The sequence below is a fragment of the Homo sapiens genome, chromosome 19 (assembly GCF_000001405.40).
Source record: "Homo sapiens chromosome 19, GRCh38.p14 Primary Assembly".
NCBI classification, from domain to species: domain Eukaryota; kingdom Metazoa; phylum Chordata; class Mammalia; order Primates; family Hominidae; genus Homo; species Homo sapiens.
In genome coordinates, this window is record NC_000019.10 from 20,675,928 (window position 1) to 20,695,216 (window position 19,289).

Consider the following 19,289-nt stretch of genomic DNA (forward strand, 5'->3'; position numbering starts at 1 on the left):
CTTTGTGGCTGTTGAACATGGAAAGAAGTAGATACTCAAGATTCCTATTAGGAAAAACTGTGGTCCTTAGTAAAGATGGAGAACATGTAATGTTGAGGCTCCATCTGTGTGTTCCATTAGCTCTGTGCAGAACAGGATTAAGAAAATGCTTATTTAAATGAGATGGAATTTATTACCCAGAAAGATCTGAAAAAACTTATTAAGAGATACCTGCTCTCTAGGGTGCTAAATGAAGCCTACTTAAAATTGCTACTAAAAATTACAGAACATAGGAGTAATCTGTACTTTGAAGTTGACATAACACATGTTTCTTCATGGTTAAATTCAGATTTTATTTACTTTTTTGGGAGGAATATTTCAACAGTGATGCTGTGTTCTTGTGCGTGTGGTCTTCCTTGGTGAGTATAACTTGAATACATAATTCATAATATACCCTAAAGGTTTTATTTCTCTTTTTTTCTAGAATATTTTTTACTAATTTATTCTTTGCATAGAAGAGTTTTGGATGCCTTTCTCCAGAAAATGTTCAGAATTTGTTCATTTAGAAAACAATTTCTTCAAGAATTTTTATCTTAATCCAAACTTTTGACATTCCTAAGATGAGTTGTATTCTTAACCCTGAATTAGTGGTAATTCCAGCAGTTTAGTGGCATAAAATACTGATACCCCCACCTGAAAATCTCATTGCCATCACCAATTTTTGATTCAGTAGTACCAGGTAGTAAAATTTAAAAACCTACAAGGAGGGTCAGGTGCGGTGGCTCATTCCTGTAATCCCAGCACTTTGGGAGGTTTAGGCATGTGGATTGCCTAAGGTCAGGAGTTCGAGACTAGCTTGACCAACATGGAGAAACTCTGTCTCTACTAAAAATACAAAATTAGCCGGGCATGATGGTGCATGTCCATAATTCCAGCTACTCTGGAGGGTGAGGCAGTAGAATCTCTTGAACCCAGGAGGCAGAGGTTGCAGTGAGCTGAGATCACGCCATTAAACTCCTGCCTGGGCAACAAGAGTGAAATTCCATCTCAAAAAAAAAACAAAAAACAAAAAGAAACCTACAAGTTGAAAGTATTTTCTATATATTTAGAAGTTTCTGTTATAACTTAGTATTTTGGTAATAATTTACTAGTGTTGCAGGAAGTCAGGGACCCCGAATGGAGGGACTGGCTGAAGCCATGGCAGAAGAACATAAATTGTGAAGATTTCATGGACATTTTTTAGTTCCCCAAATTAATACTTTTATAATTTCTTATGCCTGTCTTTACTGCAATCTCTGAACATAAATTGTGAAGATTTCACGGACACTTATCACTTCCCCAGTCAATACCCTTGTGATTTCCTATGCCTGTCTTTAATCTCTTAATCCCATCATCTTCATAAACTGAGGAGGATGTATGTCACCTCAGGACCCTGTGTTGATTGCGTTAACTGCACAAATTGTTTGTGGAGCATGTGTGTTTGAACAATATGAAATCTGGGCACTTTGGAAAAAAGAACAGGATAACAGCAATGTTCAGGGAACAAGAGAGATAACCTTAAACTCTGACCGCCAGTGAGCCGGGTGGAACAGAGCCATATTTCTCTTCTTTCAAAAGCAAATGGGGGAAATATCACTGAATTATTTTTCTCAGCAAGGAACATCCCTGAGAAAGAGAATGCATCCCTGAGGGTAGGCCTCTAAAATGGCCATTTCAGGGGGCGGCCATCTTTTATGGTCAAGCTGTAGGGATGAAATAAGCTCCAGTCTCCCATAGCGCTCCCAGGCTTATTAGGATGAGGAAATTCCCACCAAATAAATTTTTGGTCAGACCAGTTGTCTGCTCTCAAACCCTGTCTCCTGATAAGCTGTTATCAATGACAATGCATGCCCAAAACTTCATTAGCAATTTTAATTTCACCCTGGTCCTGTGGTCCTGTGATCTCACCGTGCCTCCATTTGCCTTGTGATATCTTATTACCTTGTGAAGCATGTGATCTCTGTGACCCACACCCTATTTGTACACTCCCTCCCCTTTTGAAAATCACTAATAAAAACTTGCTGGTTTTATGGCTCAGGGGCCTCCCGGAACCTGCTGACATGTGATGTCTCCCCCAGACACCAAGCTTTAAAATTTCTCTCTTTGTACTCTGTCCCTTTATTTCTCAGACTGGCCAACACTTAGGGAAAATAGAAAAGAACCTACATGAAATATTGGGAGTGAATTTCACCCAACATCTGGCTGAATTTCCCCTGATAACTGGAATATATATGCATATATATATATATATATATATATATTTTTTTTTTTTTTTTTTTTTTTTTTTTTTTTTTGAGATGGAGTCTCGCTCTGTTGCTCAGGCTGGAGTGCCGTGGTGCAATCTTGGCTCACTGCAAGCTCTGCCTCCCGGGTTCACGCCATTCTCCTGCCTCAGCCTCCCAAGTAGCTGGGACTACAGGCACCCGCCACCATGCCTGGCTAATTTTTTGTATTTTTAGTAGAGACGGGGTTTCACTGTGTTAGCCAGGATGGTCTCAATCTCCTGACCTTGTGATTCACCCACTTCGGCCTCCCAAAGTGCTGGGATTACAGTCGTGAGCCCCTGCGCCTAGCCTAATTTACTAGAATATTTTATCACATCCTCTCTGCTGAACACATTACTAGCTTGTAATTGGAGAATATGAGCAAGATTCATGTTATTTATTTTTAATAAAACATGTATTGGTGTCTCTGAACCAGACCTGATCACCTGTCTGGAGCAGGAAAAAAAACCTTTGACTATGAAGAGACATGAGATAATTGCCAAACCCCCAGGTAGGTGTGAGTGAAAATGAATACAACAGATGACACAGATTAGAGATCCCAAGGTCAAAGAGAAAGCCAGTCCTTAGAATGTGATTTGGGAAGCTGTGTTCCAAAGGAAATAGTTCCTGGGCATCTGTTCTATTGTTTGTTTGTTTGTTTTTTAAATTTTATTCTCACAAAGGGGTATCTTCTGTCTTGTGCTTTTAAATTCTCTACAAATTCCACTTTTCTTTCCGTGAGCTTCCTTCAAGTTCACAGTGAGAGCCAAAGTCCACTTCAGGGCATATAAGAGACTGCACAATCTGGCTGCTTTTCTATTGTTTTGGGGACACACAACTATCTGCATGATTTTGAGAAACTAAAAGTTTTTAAAGTTTTTTTTTGCATCAGATTTGAAATGTGTGGGAGTAGTTGTTTCTGTTGAATATTTTTGTTCATTTTTCTGCCCAGCCCATTCTGTTTTTATTACTATATAGCCTTGAAATATAGTTTGAAATTATAAGTATGATATTTTTCTGCTTTGTTCTTTTTTCTCAAGATTGCTTTGGCTATTCAAAGTTTATTTTAGTTTCATGTAAATTTTAGAATTGTATTTTCCGTTACTGTGAAAAAAATACCACTGCAATTTTGATAGGAAATTTATTGAATCTATAGATCACTTTGGATAATATGGCACTTTAATAATATTTATTCTTTCAATCTGTAGACACAAAATATTTTAAAATTTATTTAGATCTTCTCTAATTTTTTCATTGTTTTTTTTTATTGTGAAGATTTTTACCTCCTTGGTTAATTTTTTCTCACAAATTTATTATTTAATGCTATAGTAAATAAGATTTGTTTCATCTTCTATTTTATCTGGTAGTTGAAGTTTCTGAAACCATATATATACTTGCATGTTAATTTTATATTTTGCTAATTTACGAGTGTATTTATTAGTTTATGTAGCTTTTAATGTTCTGTGATGGTTTTTCTAAAATATAAGATTGTATGATCTACAAACAGCAACTTTTTACTTATTTTTCTTTCATTTCAATGGATTTTTTTGTTTCTTTGAGTAATTCTTCTGCCACATACTTCCAGTTCTACATTAAAATAGAAGTATTGACAATGGACACAATATAGTTTTGTATTGGTGTCTGAATTTGATGGAGCAAACACCTCTTCAAGTTTTCATGAACTGATTTTAGAAGGTAAGGATCTTTCTTTGGGCCCTTGGGGTTATGAGATGCCCTCTGAATTTGTAGTGAAGAGGGGTTGTAGCTTGGTCACAAGGCCGCTGGGTCTGCACTAGGGTCCACCTTTAGTTGGCTTGTTACAGGGGCTTGGGTAGTCATAATTCTCATTTTGTTTTGGACACGCTGCAAATTTTTCAGGACTTTGCTCCATGGGGCAGACACTAGGGCATGTTTTTGCAGTTGGGTCTGCATATGGTGGGCCTTATATCAGGACATGGATGAGTATGGCTTTCACTGAGTACCAGAGAGCATTTCCTCATGTAACTGTTTGGGTTTCTATGTAGGCAAAACTGGCCATGAACTGTGGCTCAGGTACTGAAACTGAGCCATTGAACGACTTCAGGGACCACAGCAAAGGCCAAGGTCTACAAGTCTGCCTGCATGGCTGTAAATGGGTATCTTCCTTCAGGTCTCTGGAATGGCAGGACCTCTCCCAGACTGTGGCTGGGAGGAGTTTGGGATGGTTACAGAGTTAAGTTCAGAATTCTCAGTGGGATCAAGTTGGGTGAACCCTATCCTGGTCTGTAGCCAAAAACAGGGGTCCTGTAGTTTCCCACCTGAATGACATCCTGCCTTCTTAATAGAACACTTCTCAATCTTAAGCTTTAGTAGTGTTTCACAACTCCCTCCTGGGATCTCAAATCTCTCTTCGAGACACTTATTTTGGAGATGGCATCTTGCTGCTTAACCCAGGCTGGTCTTGAAATCCTGGCCTGAAGCAGTTCTCCAACCTTAATGTACCATGTAGCTGTCATTACAGGTGTGAGCCATAATGCCTGGTTTCTCATAAAGGCATTTTTGTCAGGGATGGCTGACTTTTTTTTTTGCTGTGAGGGGATATGAAAATAGGGCACTTTTAATCTTTTTATCTTACTGATGTCACTCTCCCTACACATTTTTACTTTCTATTTTCTCTTTCAGATTTGCCTGTAATTTTAGATTCAGATATTTAGGACAATATGCTAGAATTTGATGGTATTCCTGAAGTAAATTAGATAATTAGTAAGCACTCCATATTTACTCAGTTATTTGTAAATTTAAGTTTGCCACAGGCAAAAAGGAATTATAGTATTTTCATCTACTTTCTTCAGCTTACATCTACATAATAAAATAGTTTATTTCCTAATATTTGTTTCACATATCAGAGGGTCTCACTTTATTCTGCAAAATATATATGTGTATATTTTCTATATTTAACAATGTAAGGCTGTTTTTTGCTTCTAAAGTTAGATTACAGCAGTTTCATTTTGTGTAAGAATAGCATATATTTAAAACATAAAAAATAACGTTGGTTTATTTTAAATGCTTATTTATTAAAAGTTTCTCATCGTGTTACCCAGACTGGTCTCAGGATTTTGGCCCCAATGGATCCTCTTATCTTGATCTCCCAAAGTGTTAGGATTATAGGCAACAGCCACTGCACTCAGTCAGTATTTTTAAATTTAATAAAATTTGGTGTGTGTCCTAACAGCATACACCAGATGCAGATAAGAATATTGTACATTATCCTGGTTTTGACTGGAAAGTTTTGTATGTGTCTGTGAAGCCTAGTTGGTCTATTACATGGTTTGGATGTTCATGTTATCCAAAGCTCATGCTGCAATATAAATCCTCAATGTTGGATGAAGGACGTGGTGGGACATGTTTTTGTATGGGGGCATATTTCTCATGAATGGCTTGGTACATCCTCTTGGTAACCAAAAAGTTTACACTCTATTAATTCAAATGAGAGCTGGTTCATTACATGAACCTGGCTCCTTCACCTCACACTTGCTCAGTCTCTTATCATATAATATGTCCAGTTACTGTTTACATTCCACCATGACGGTAAGTTTCCTGAGACCCACACCAAAAGCAGATGCTGGCACACACTTCTTATACAGTCTGCCAAACTGTGAGCCAAATAAACTTTTTTTCTTTGTAAATTATGCACTCTCAAGAATTTCTGTATATGCAAAATAATTAGTACAGTCTATAATGTTGCCCAGGTTTTCTGTTTCTTATTTTTTATTTGAATTTTCTATTTATTATTGCAAATGGAGTCTTGATGTCTACAATTATTATGTTACTATGTATGTCTTGCTTCACTTTTGTCAATATTTGCTTTATTTATTTTGGAGCTCTGATGTTATATACACACATTCATATAGATAAATAAATATTATAGTTAAAGATTCCTGGTAAATCAGCTCACTTTACCATAATATATTATCAATTTTTGTCTCATGGTAGTACTTGACTTAAAGCATAATATGTCTAATATAATTATGATCACTTCACTCACTTGTGGTTACTATTTTCATGGAATATACATCTTTTTCATTCGGTTACTTTCAGCCTATTTGACTGAATGCTAAAATGAGTCTCTTGTAGGCAGCATACTGTATGCTTTTTAGAAAAACCACTCACACTGGGCATGGTGGTTCACACCTATAATCCCAGCACTTTGGGAGGCCAAGGTGGGTGGGTCAACTGAGGTCAGTAGTTTGAGACCAGCCTGTCCAACATGGAGAAACCCCATGTCTACTACAAATACAAAAATTAGCCAGGTGTGGTGGCATGCACCTGTGATCCTAGCTACTCAGGAGGCAGAGGTGGGAGAATTGCTTGAACCCAGGAGGCAGAGGTTGCAGTTAGCCAAGATCGCACCATTGCACTCCAGCCTGGGCAACAAGAGCAAAATTCAGTCTCAAGAAAAAAAAAAAAACCACTCAGGCATCCTATATCATTTTCTTTATATTATTTATTTATTTATTTATTTTAAGATGGAGTTTCTCTCTTGTTGCCCAGGCTGGAGTGCAATGGTGCAATCTCAGCTCACTGCAATCTCCACCTCCCGGGTTCAAGTTATTCTCCTGCCTCAGCCTCCCAAGTAGCTGAAATTACAGGCACCCACAACCACACCCAGCTAATTTTTGTAGTTTTTGTTGGGGTGATCAGATCCAACACCAGGTTGTGGGGGCTACGAAGTCTGGCAGAGTCAAAGGAATGGGACAAGACAAGTTAAGAGTACATAGGGTGGGTCCAGGAGGCCAAAGCCAGTTTGGAGGCTGTGAAGGCCCTGAGTTCTGGGAGTCCACACTATTTATTGGTAATCAAACAATGAAGCAGGTGCTGAGGACGTGTGGATATGAGGGTAGACAGGTGAGGACGTGAGGATAGAAAGGTAGTGGTGCATCAAGTGTAGCTGTGACAGTTTAGCATATGCTGTGCTACTTAAGATAAGGGAGAACAGGTTCTTCTAATTCAAGATCCAATCATTTATGATCTTCCGAGAGCAAGGAGCAAGGGGCCAGCGAGTCTGGACACATTCCAGAGGTTACAAGGGGTTTTATGCCCTGAGCCCTGGGTTCTCTCCAAGCCACAAGGAGTTTTATGCTCTGGGCTTAGACTGTAGTGTGGCAGGGCAGGCTTCCACCATTTGGCACAGAGCTTGGTTTTCCAAAGGTCATGAGGGGTTTTAGACCCTGGACCCAGGACATGTTCCAAGACTCTTTTACATTATGTCAGACAAGCAAGCCCTGCCTCAGCTCTTCTGCCAACAGTTTTAGTAGAGACGGGGTTTTACCATGATGGCTAGGCTTGTCTTGAACTCCCGACTTCAGGTAATCTGCCCACCTTGGCCTCCCAAAGTGCTGGGATTACAGGTGTGAGCCACTGTGCCCGGCCTCATTTATTTTTGAGATATGATCTCAGTCTGTCAACCAGGCTGATTTGCGTGGTTCACTGCTGCCTGAACCTCCCAAACTCAGATGATCTTCTCATTTTAGCCTCTCAAGTAGCTGGGTTACAAGTATGTGCCATCACACACAGGTAGCTTTTTTGTATTTTTAGTAGAGACTGAGTTTTCCCATGTTGCCCAGGCTGGTCTTGAACTCCTGGGATCAAGTGATCAGCCTACCTTGGTCTTCTAAAGTCCTAAGATTACATTTTATTTTATTAAGTAGTTTAATTAATTTATATTTAAAATGATTGCTTAAAGAAATGAAGTTGTTATTACCAGTTATATTTATGGTTTTATGTGTTTCCAGTAGTTATATTTTTCTCATTTCCTATTTTACTTTCTTAATTTTTATTTAATTTTGTACTCACATGCTTTATTTTTTATTGTCTTTTGCATACTTTCTATAAATATTTTCTTTCTAATCATCTGAAAACTGGAGATTGCATGCATCTTAAAGTTAAAACAATATGTTTTAATTTCATAAAAACTTCAACTGAATACAAAAACTATGCCTCTATATTTTCCAGTTTGTTATTGATATATAAATTATTTTATATGGTGTATCTATTAACAGATGCACGCAGATTTACACATTGTTTTTATATTCTATAAAAGCACTTTAAAGGTTTTATTTACCATCATTTTTGTTTTTTTTGGTTGTTTGTTTTGATTTGTTTTTGAGACTGAGTCTCACTCTACTGCCCAGGATGGAGTGCAATGGTGCAATCTTGGCTCACTGCAACCTCTGCCTCCCAGGTTCAAGGGATTCTCCTGCCTCAGCCTCCCAAGTAGCTGAGGTTACAGGTGCCTGCCATCAGGCCAGCCTGGCTAATTTTTTGTATTTGTAGTATAGATGGGGTTTCACCATGTTGGCCAGGCTGGTCTTGAACTCCTGACCTCAGGTGATTAGCCCACCTCAGCCTCTTAAAGTGCTGAAATTACAGATGTGAGCCACCATTCCCAGTGTGGCTGGGATTTACCATCATTTTGATAGTAAAGAATTCTATATGTGTCCATATATTTACATTTATTGGAGAGCTTTATATTTACATATGTTTTTATGATGCTGTCCAGCACCATTTTATGTTTCTACATAACGGACACATTTTAACATTTCTCTGTTTTTATATGTAGGGTCTCATTATGTTGCTCAGGCTGGTCTTGAACTTCTGGTCTCAAGTGATGTGATTGCTTTGGCCTCCCAAAGCTGTAGAATTACAGGCATGAAGCACTGTGCCTGAGCCCCGTGCAGTATTTTTTTTTTACTTTTTTTTTTTTGAGACCGAGTCTCCCTCTGTCACCCAGGCCTGGGGTGCAGTGGCATGATCTTGGCTCACTGCAACCTCCGCCTCCCAGGTGCAAGCAAATCTCCTGCCTCAGATTCCATCCCGAGTAGCTGGGGTTACAGGTGCATGCCACCATGCTGGGCTAATTTTTATTATTATTATTATTTTTAGTAGACATGGGGTTTCAACATGTTGGCCAGGCTTATCTCGAACTTCTGACCTTTGATGATCCAACTGCCTTGGCCTCCCAAAGTGCTGGGATTACAGGCTTGAGCCATCTCACCTGGCACTTTTTTTTTTTTTTTTTGAGATGGAGTCTTGCTCTGTCGCCCAGGCTGGAGTGCAATGGCATGATTTTGGCTCACTGCAACTTCCGCCTCTTGGGTTCAAGTGATTCTCCTGCCTCAGCCTCCTGAGTAGCTGGGACTACAGGTGTGCACCACCACGCCCAGCTAATTTTTGCATGTTTAGTAGGGACGCAGTTTCACCGTATTGTTCAGGCTGGTCTTGAACTCCCGATCTCAGGCAATTCACCCACCTCGGCCTCTGAAACTGCTGGGATTACAGGCGTGAGCCAGTGTGCCCAGCCCCATGTAGTATATTTTGTAGAACTGTTAGTGGTGATGAACAGTCTCACCTTTTATTTTGGAAAGTCTTTATTTTTGTCTTCTTATTGAAGTAGTGTAATTTTGAATTGAGTTTTACTGGTTAGAAATTTTTTTTTGTTACATTAAAATTTGGGAAGTTCTCAGCTTTTTTTTTTTTTTAATCTTCAAGTAATGTCTGTATTACTTTTTCTCTATATTCTAAGATTCCTTTCATGAATACATTGATCTGCTTGATGGTATCCAATAAGTTTTACATTCCATGTGTTAATTTTGTTTTGTGATTTTATATTATTGTGTTATATATTTTTGGGTATGCCACATCACAGCAGTTAGTTGTGTTTTGATTTTTTAGTTTATATTATAATTGTATATGACAATATTTAACTCTGTACAATTTAAGACAGTGTGGAGCAAAATTAAATGTGAATAAGCTGTATGTCTATTACCAGTATAATTATTTCTATGTTTGTTGGCCTGTATAAATTTTATCCTGGTATTTTTGTGTCACTTGTATATTTGTTGTGTGTTTCTTGTAGTAGGTTTTTTGGAGTTTTTTGTTGTTGTTTGTTTGTTTGAGAGAGAGTTTTGCTCTTGTTGCCCAGGCTGGAATATAATGGTGGGATCTTAGCTCACTGCAACCTCTGCCTCCTGGGTTCTAGCAATTCTCCTGCCTCAGCTTCCCAAGTAGCTGGGATTACAGGCATGCACCACCATGCCAGGCTAATTTTGTATTTTTAGTAGAGATGGGGCTTAAACATTGGTCAGGCTGGTCTCGAACACCCGACCTCAGGTGATCCACCCACCTCAGCCTCCCTAAGTGCTGGGATTACAGGCATGAGCTACTGCACCAAGCCTATAACAGTTTTTTAATCCTGTCTAGATGAGTAGTCATAAAAAATCTCCTAATTTCAACATCTATTTATTTGTGAATCTACATTGTTTTGTGTGAAAGAAACACTTTTGGATTTGAAGATAATTTAAAAACTATAATAACTCTGTATCTCTCTTAGGTATTATTTTTACTTATGTATTTTGTGTCAAAAACATAACAAAATTTACAATAAAATATTTCTAGGCCGGGTGCAGTGGCTCACTGAGTGATATTCCAGTATTTTTGTACCTACTGAATGATTTGGTGACAGAAATTTGCATTGCTTTTACCTATTGGCTTTCAGTCACAATGCTGCAATAGTTATGTGAAAGTTAATATATGTACTGCATTCTGTTTTATTTTTCTAATTTTTCACCTTTATACTCATACCAATTGTTTTAATTCTGTAGCTTTTTGATGTGTTTTGAAATCAGAAATGGTAAAGCCTCCAACGTTGTTCCTTTTTTTGAAGATTGTTGGGTACTTTCTTGTCTCTTTAGATTCCATATACTTTTGGATTTGTTGTTTTTATTTCTTCAAAAATGCAATGAGACATTTGAAAAACATTGAGTTAAATCTGTAGATTAAATTGAGCAGTACAGACATCTTCACAGTATTAATTCTTTCTTTTTTGGTTGTTTGTTTTTGAGATGGAGTTAAATTCACCCACCTCGGCCTCCCAAAGTGCTGGGATTACAGGCATGAGCCACCGCACCCAGCCCAGTAATTTCAACAAGTGCATGCTCAAGAGTGTGTCATATGATTTCTATATATTTGTAAATTTATCAAATATTTATATTATTGTTTTATATTCTAATTTCATTTTTTGTCATAGAAAGTAATCTATAAAATCTACATTTTAGAAAATGTGTTGAGGCTGGGCGCGGTGGCTCATACCTGTACTCCCTGCACTTGGGAGGCCAACGCAGGCAGATCACCTGAGGTAAGGAGTTCAAGACCAGCCTGACCAACATGGAGAAACCGTGCCTCTACTAAAAATACAAAATTAGCTGGGCGTGGTGGTGCATGCCTGTAATCCCAGCTACTCAGGAGCCTCAGGCAGGAGAATCACTTGAACCTGGGAGGCAGAGGTTGCAGTGAGCTGAGACTGCACCATTGCACTCCATACTGGGTAACAAGAGTGAAACACTCCATCTCAAATATATATATATATGTGTTAAGATTTTGTTTTTGGACTAACAGGTGGTCTATATAGGAGAATGTTGTTTGAGCTATTGAGAAGGCTGTGTATTTTGATGCTGTTGAGGAGTGTTCTCTATACCTTCATTAGAAATAAGTGTTTTTTACTGCCTTCTAGTCCTCTGTTCCATTATTAATATTATGTCTTGTTTTATTATTATTACAGAAAGTGGGGTATTGAAATATCCTACTATAATTATATTGCTCTCTCTGTGTTTATCCAATTTTGTTAGTGTTTGCTTTATATATTTGAAACCCTAGTTTGAGACACACACACACAAATACACACATGGATAAATAAATTTGTCATAGGTTCTCAGTGAATGAATCTATATATTATTTAATGTCCTTTGTCTTTCTGAAGTTTGAACTTAAAGTACATTCTATAAAATATGACAGTTTTTGACTTAACATGTATCTTGTATAATATTATTTTGACCTCTTCTACTCTCATTTGGTTAATATTTACGTGACATTTCTACTTCCATTATTTCACTTTCAGTCTTTTTTGTCATTAGATTTCAACTGAGTCCTGTAGAAAGGCAAGTTGAACATTGATTTTAAACACTTTTTAATAAACCTGTTTATTGAAAGTATGTCTCTTGATTGGAAAGATAATTATATATATATTTAAATGGTTTTCTGAAAGAGAAAAACTTACTAATGTTATATTATTAATCATTTTATTTGATTCTATCTTTTTCTCTCATTTTCTCTTTCTGTCTTTTTTTGTGTTTTTTTATTTCTGTATTGATATGCTTTCAGTTTTTTTCTTACTTTCTTTTGTGTATCTATATAAATATTTTCTTAGATACCTTGGGGGATTACATAAAACCTCTGAAAGATCCAACAATATATTTGAATATGGTAAAAAACTAACTTCAATTGCATACAAAAATTCTTCATCATTACGTCTGCCTTCAACTTTGTTATTGATTTTGCTAATTTTATTTTTTTATGTTTTATGTTCATTAACAGATGTTTATAATCATGTCTATACTTTTACCTTTTAAATTTTAGAGAATAATTAAAAATGTTTTCTGTATCATTATGATAATGTTAAGTAATAAATTTCATTTTTGTGTATGTGCATATTGCATTATGTTATTTTCAGTGAAAGAACCTCCTTTCAGCATCTTTGATATGTAGAGCATATGCAATGTCAATATACTTTCTCAGGATTTGGTTATTTTGGAAGGACGTCTTTGTATTTGGTAGTACAATTTTGCTGATGGTATTATTCCCACTTGACAGCTTTTTAAAAATTATTATAACTTTAACAATATCACACAGTTTCCTTCTGACTTGCAAATTTTTTTTTGATAAATTCACTGGTTATCTCATGAGACTATGCTTATAAATGAAACATTTTTATATTGTAGTGCCCAAAATTCTTTTCTCATATGCCATTTTGAAATTTTGCTTATATTTGTGTCTGTTATTATCTTTGTGTGTACCTAAATTTGTTTTTTCAGCTTTTTCATGTTTACGTCATATTTTCTTTTAAGAAATTTTTCAGTTTTTTGGTAATTTTATATCCACAATTTTTGGTATTTTAATTTTTTTATCTTTATTTTTCTGATCTTCGGTAGTTGTCTGTGTTTCTATTTTTTTCTGATACGGAGTCTTTTTCTGTCGCTGAGGCTGGAGTGCAGTGGCGTGATGTCGGCTAACTGCAAACTCTGCCTCCCAGGTTCAAGCGATTCTCCTGCCTCAGCCTCCCGAGTAGCTGGGATTACAGCTGCCTGCCATCACGCCCAACGAATTTTTTGTATTTTTAGTAGAGACGGGGTTTCTCCATGTTGGCCAGGCTGATCTTGAACTCCTGACCTCAAATGATCCACCCACTTTGGCCTCCTGAAGTGCTGGGATTACAGGCACGAGCCACAAAGCCCAGCCTTTTTCATTGTATTTTTGAGACAGTGTTGCTCAGGCTGCAGTACAGTGGTACAATCTCCACTCACTGCAACATTCCCCTCCCAGGTTCAAGCAGTTCTCCTGTGTCAGCCTCCCAAGTAGCTGTGATTACAGGCAAATGCCACCATGCCCAGCTAATCTTTGTATTTTTAGTAGATACAGGGTTTCATCATGTTGGCCAGGGTGGTGTCAAACTCCTGACTTCATGTGATTTTCCCACCTTGATCTCCCAGTGTGTTGGGATTCCAGAAATGAGCCACTAACCCTGGCCTGTTCAATCTATTTTGAATTTTTAAAATTACTTTCTATACTTTCTATGGTTGCTTTAGAAAATTTTATGTTTTTGATGGGGCCATATTGTTCTAATATTTGGTATACATTATAATCTTTGATTGAGATTTGGACATTAACAAAAAGCTACCTGTTACAATCTTTATAATATAGCTTTGTGTTTGCGTAGTCTGAAGTCAATTGTCTTGGCTAAAGATTCTGGGAATTCCTCAAACATGTTTTTAGGATGTATCTTGTCTAAAATTTTGTTTTTATTGTTTAGATAAATCAGCTTGTTCACATTTCTTCTTAATAATCTGTAATCACTTGCCACACCCATTCCCTGTTTGGGGTACTGCAGTTTCTCTGCTTCTCTGTAATATACCTTCAGACTCAGCAGACTCAAACTGTCATTCCAACATGTATCACCATTTCTTTCAGCATTTTATGTCACGAGAAACATTAACTAATGTCTAAGAAAGCCCCTAGAAGCCAGAAATAAAGATATATGTGCCAATATTTTTCTAGTTTTTTTTTGTTTTGTTTTTAAAAACGAGGGGTTGGCAATTTACATGTGTGTGTATGTGTGAGACAGAGTCTCACTCTGTTACCTAGGCTGGAGTGCAGTGGCATGATCTTGGCTCACTACAATCTCTGCCACCACAGTTCAAGCAATTCTCCTGCCTCAGCCTCCCAAGTAGCTAGGATTACACATATCTGTTACCAAGCCTGGCTAATTTTTTGTATTTTTAGTAGAGATGGGATTTCACCATGTTAGTCAGGCTGGTCTCAACCTCCTGATCTCAGATAATCCTCCCGCCTTGCCCTCCCAAAGTTCTGAGATTACAGGCTTGAGCCATCATGCCTGGTCAGCAATTTACTTTTTTTTTGGAGGGGCAGGGGATGAAGTCTCTCTCTTTTGCCCAGGCTGAAGTGCAGTGGCACGATCTCTGCTCACTGCAACCTCCGCCTTCCAGGTTCAAGCAATTCTCATGCCTCAGCTTCCCGAGTAGCTGTGATTGCAGGCACCCACCACCATGCCTGGCTAATTTTTTGTATTTTTAGTAGAGATGGGGTTTCACCATCTCAGCCGGGCTGGTCTTGAACTCCTGACCTCAAGTCATCCACCCACATCAGCCTCCCAAAGTGCTGGGATTACAGGTATAAGCCACCACATCCATTTGGCAATTTACTTTTGAAGACACAATCTTATATGGAGAGCAGGAAGAGCTGTGTTGGGTATAAGTAACAGACCTCTTTTTCTTCTATGTGGCTCTTTGCATTGTGCTCACTTGGGGCCCTTCACACACTTAACTCATTTATACATTTTTTACAAACGTTTTTTGGTCAGTATGTTTTTGTTACATTTATATGTCCAGGAAGAAATTACAGCTTATGGTATTTTGCTATGTCATCTTGCTTATGTAGTTTGTATAATTTTATAGGTTAGATTTGTAAAGTATATTTATCTGAGTCTAGCAACTGAAGTAATGTATTTGTATTGTTTCTTTCAGTTATGTGTTCTCATTTTGCCCAAGACCTTTGGCCAGAGCAGAGCGTAAAAGATTCTTTCCAAAAACTGATACTGAGAAGTTAGTTATGAAAAATGTGGACATGACAATTTACAGTTAAAAAAAGAATGTGAAAGTGTGGATGAGTGTAAGGTGCACAAAGAAGGTTATAATGGACTTAACCAATGCTTCACAAATACCAAGAAAAAAATATTTCAATGTGATAAATATAGGAAAGTTTTTCATAAATTTTCAAATTCAAACTGACATAAGAGAAGACATACGGGAAAAAAGACCTTTCAAATGTATAGAATGTGGCAAAGCTTTTAACAAGTTTTCAACCCTTACTACACATAAGAAAATTCATACTAGAGAGAAACCCTACAAATGTGAAGAATGTGGCAAAGCCTTCAACTGGTCCTCATACCTTACTATACATAAGAGAATTCATACTGGAGAGAAACTCTACAAATGTGAAGAATGTGGCAAAGCCTTCAACTGGTCCTCATACCTTACTGCATATAAGATAACTCATACTAGAGAGAAACCCTACAAATGTGAAGAATGTGGCAAAGCCTTTAAGTACTCCTCGAACCTCACTACACATAAGATAATTCATACTGGAGAGCATCTCTACAAGTGTGAAGAATGTGGCAAAGCGTTTAACCATGCTGCATGCTTCTTTGTCATTTTGAAGATTTGACTTAAAGTACATTTTATAAAATATGACAGTTTTTGACTTAAGATGTAGCTTGTGTAATATTATTCTGAGCTCTTCTGCTCTCATTTGGTTAATATTTACATGAAATTTCTACTTCCATCTTTCCACTTTCAGTCTTTTTTTCTCATTAGATCTCAACTAACTCTTGTAGAAAGGCAAGTTGAATCTTGATTTAAAAATTTTTTAATAAACCTTTATATTGAAAGTATGTCTGTTGATTGGAAAGATAATTATATATATATTAAAATGGTTTTTTGAGAGAGAAAAACTTACTAATGTTATTTTATTAATTGTGTTATTTGATTTTTGTATCTTTGTCTCTCATTTTCTCTTTCTTTTTTGTGTTTTTTTATTTTTATTTTTATATTGACATGCTGTAGGGAGACCCCCTGAAACTATGGCTATGGAATGAAAGATGAAATGCTCCTGATAGTTGTAAATACAAAATTACATGCAGGATTGTGTAAAGACAATGCCAGGTTGGGCTGCCAGAATGAGCCAACAGTGCGTGATGTGCTTCGCCCTGCAGAGAGCCTATAAACGGATGTGCAGTCAGGAAGGTTTCACATCACCAAGATTCCTATCCCAGAAAAGCAGATATTCATAGCTCTGGGAATGGAATGCGACCCTTGTGGAGAGCCTACAAATGGATGCATGAGGGGTGCCTGTTCATATGGATAACATCGGGCTATAAACGCCCTTATCTTGCCATGGCTCTTCTAGGTCTCTTTAGGGTTAAGACATACTCCCTTCTGAGAATTTGTGGTCTAATCGGTTGTCTAGTTTTACATCCTCCTTTTATTGATTGTTTGCAACCAGCTTTTGCTGTAATTATTACTACTGATTAATATCTTGCTCATCATTAATCATAGATTATGGAGAGACGGGGTTTCCGTTTTAAGGCTCTGTTAAAAATTGCTGATGCACACACTATATTGTAAATTCTTATCTCTGTATACTGTACTTCTGCATATTGATGTTATGTTAAAGAATTACTTCATTCCCATGTGACCATCTCACCTCATAATCAAACGACTCTAAATCCCTCATTAACCTACCCCCACCCTCACTAAACTTAATAATAAATGCTGGTATATCCAGTGCATTGGCAGCATGGCAGGACCAGAAGGCGGTGACCCTCCTGGACTCAACTTTCACTATCTTGTGTGTGTCTTTTATTTCTTGACCTGCCGATCCACCTGGGAACAAAGAAAGAGCCCCATTGCATTGCGGGCTGCTGGCCAGATCCCGCAATAACATGCTTTCTGTTTTTGTCTTATTTCTTTTTTATGTATCTATACAGATATTTTCTAAGTGGTACTTTCAAGGATTACATAAAACCTCTAAAAGATCCAACAATATATTTGTTTGTGATAAAGAATCAGCTTCAGTTGCATACAAAAATTCTTCATCATTACATCAGCCTTCAACTTTGTTATGATTTTGCTAATTATATTTTTTATGTTGTATATTCATTAACAGATGTTTATAGTAATTCCTATACTTTTATCTTTTAAATTTTAGAAAATAACTAACAATGTTTTCTGCACCATTATGATAATGTTAAGTAAGAACTTTTATTTTTGTGTATGTACATATTTTTTCCAGAAATTTATGTATTTTCATATGATTAAGTGTTGTTTTCTTGCATTATATTATTTTCAGTGGAAGAAACTCCTTTCAGCATCTTTGATATGTAGGACATATGCAGTGCCAATATACTTTCTCAGGATTTGGTTACTTTGGAAGGACTTCTTTTTATTTGAGAGTACAATTTTCCTGATATTCTCATTCCCACTTGACAGTTTTTTTTTAATTATAACTTTAACAATATCACATAGCTTCCTTCTGACCTGCAAATTTTTTAATAAATTCACTGATTATCTCATGAAACCATGCTTATAAATAACACATCATTTTTATCTTGCACCTCCCAAAATTCTCTTCTTCTTATCTGTGATTTTTGAAATTTTATTTATATGTGTATTTGTTATGAATATCTTTGGTGTATCCTAGTTTGTTTAGCTTCTTCATCTTTATATCATGTTTTAAGAAATTTTCAGTTATTTTTTTGTATTATTTATATTCACGATTTTTTTTGCTTTTTTTTTTTTTTTTTGATGCAGAGTTTTGCTCCTGTTGCCCAGGCTGGAATGCAATGGCATGATCTCGGCTCACTGCAACCTCCGCCTCCTGGGTTCAAGCAATTCCCCTGCCTCAGCTTCCCGAGTAGCTGGGATTACAGGTGCCCACCACCACATCCAGCTGGTTTTTGTATTTTTAGTAGAGACAGGGTTTCACCACATTGGCCAGGCTGATCTTGAACTCCAGACCTCAGGTAATCCACCTGCCTTGGGCTCCCAAAGTGCTGGGATTACAGGCGTGAGCCACCGTGCCTGGCCTTTTTTTTCCTTTTTAATATTTCTTGTTGTTATCCTCATTTTTCTAATCTTCAGAAGTTGTCTGTGTTCCTATTTCACTTACTGAATATTATTCAATATATTTGATTTGATTTGATTTGATTTGATTTGATTTATTTATTATTCTTTTTGTTTTCTGAGACGGAGTCTCTTTCTGTTGCCCAGGCTGGAGTGCAGTGGCACAATTTTGGCTCACTGCAACCTCCGCCTCCTGGGTTCAAGCAACTCTCTCCCTCAGTCTCTCGAGTAGCTGGGACTACAAGCACCCAATACCATGACCGGCTAATTTTTTGTATTTTTAGCAGAGATGGGGTTTCACTATCTTGGCTGGTCTTGAACTCCTGACCTCATGATCCACCGATGTCAGCCTATCAAAGAGCTGGGATTACTGGCATGAGCCACCAAGTCCAGCCAGCTTTTTACTTTTAAAAGCACAATGTTATACTGGAGAGCAGGAGGACCTGTGTTGGGTATAAGTAACAGACTTTACTTTTTCTTCTATGTGGCTGTTTGCATTGTGCTCACCTGGGGCCGTTCATACACGTAACTTATTTATAAATTTGTTACAAATGTATTTTGGTCAGTATGTTTTTGTTAAATTTATATGTCCAGGAAGAAATTACAGCTTGTGGTATTTTCCTATGTCATCTTGCTTATGTAGTTTGTATAATTTTATAGGTTAGATTTGTAAAGTATATTTATCTGAGTCTAGCAATTGAAGTAATGTGTTTTTATTGTT

General features: G+C 37.2%; 1 pseudogene across 1 annotated transcript; it reads left to right on the forward strand.

The window, feature by feature from the left end:
* Positions 1 to 2,569: 2,569 nt before the first annotated feature.
* LOC105372319 (zinc finger protein 430-like) lies at positions 2,570 to 16,338 on the forward strand (annotated as a pseudogene). The gene is made up of 2 exons (NR_171647.1): positions 2,570 to 3,977; positions 15,413 to 16,338. The product of NR_171647.1 is annotated as a zinc finger protein 430-like (transcript).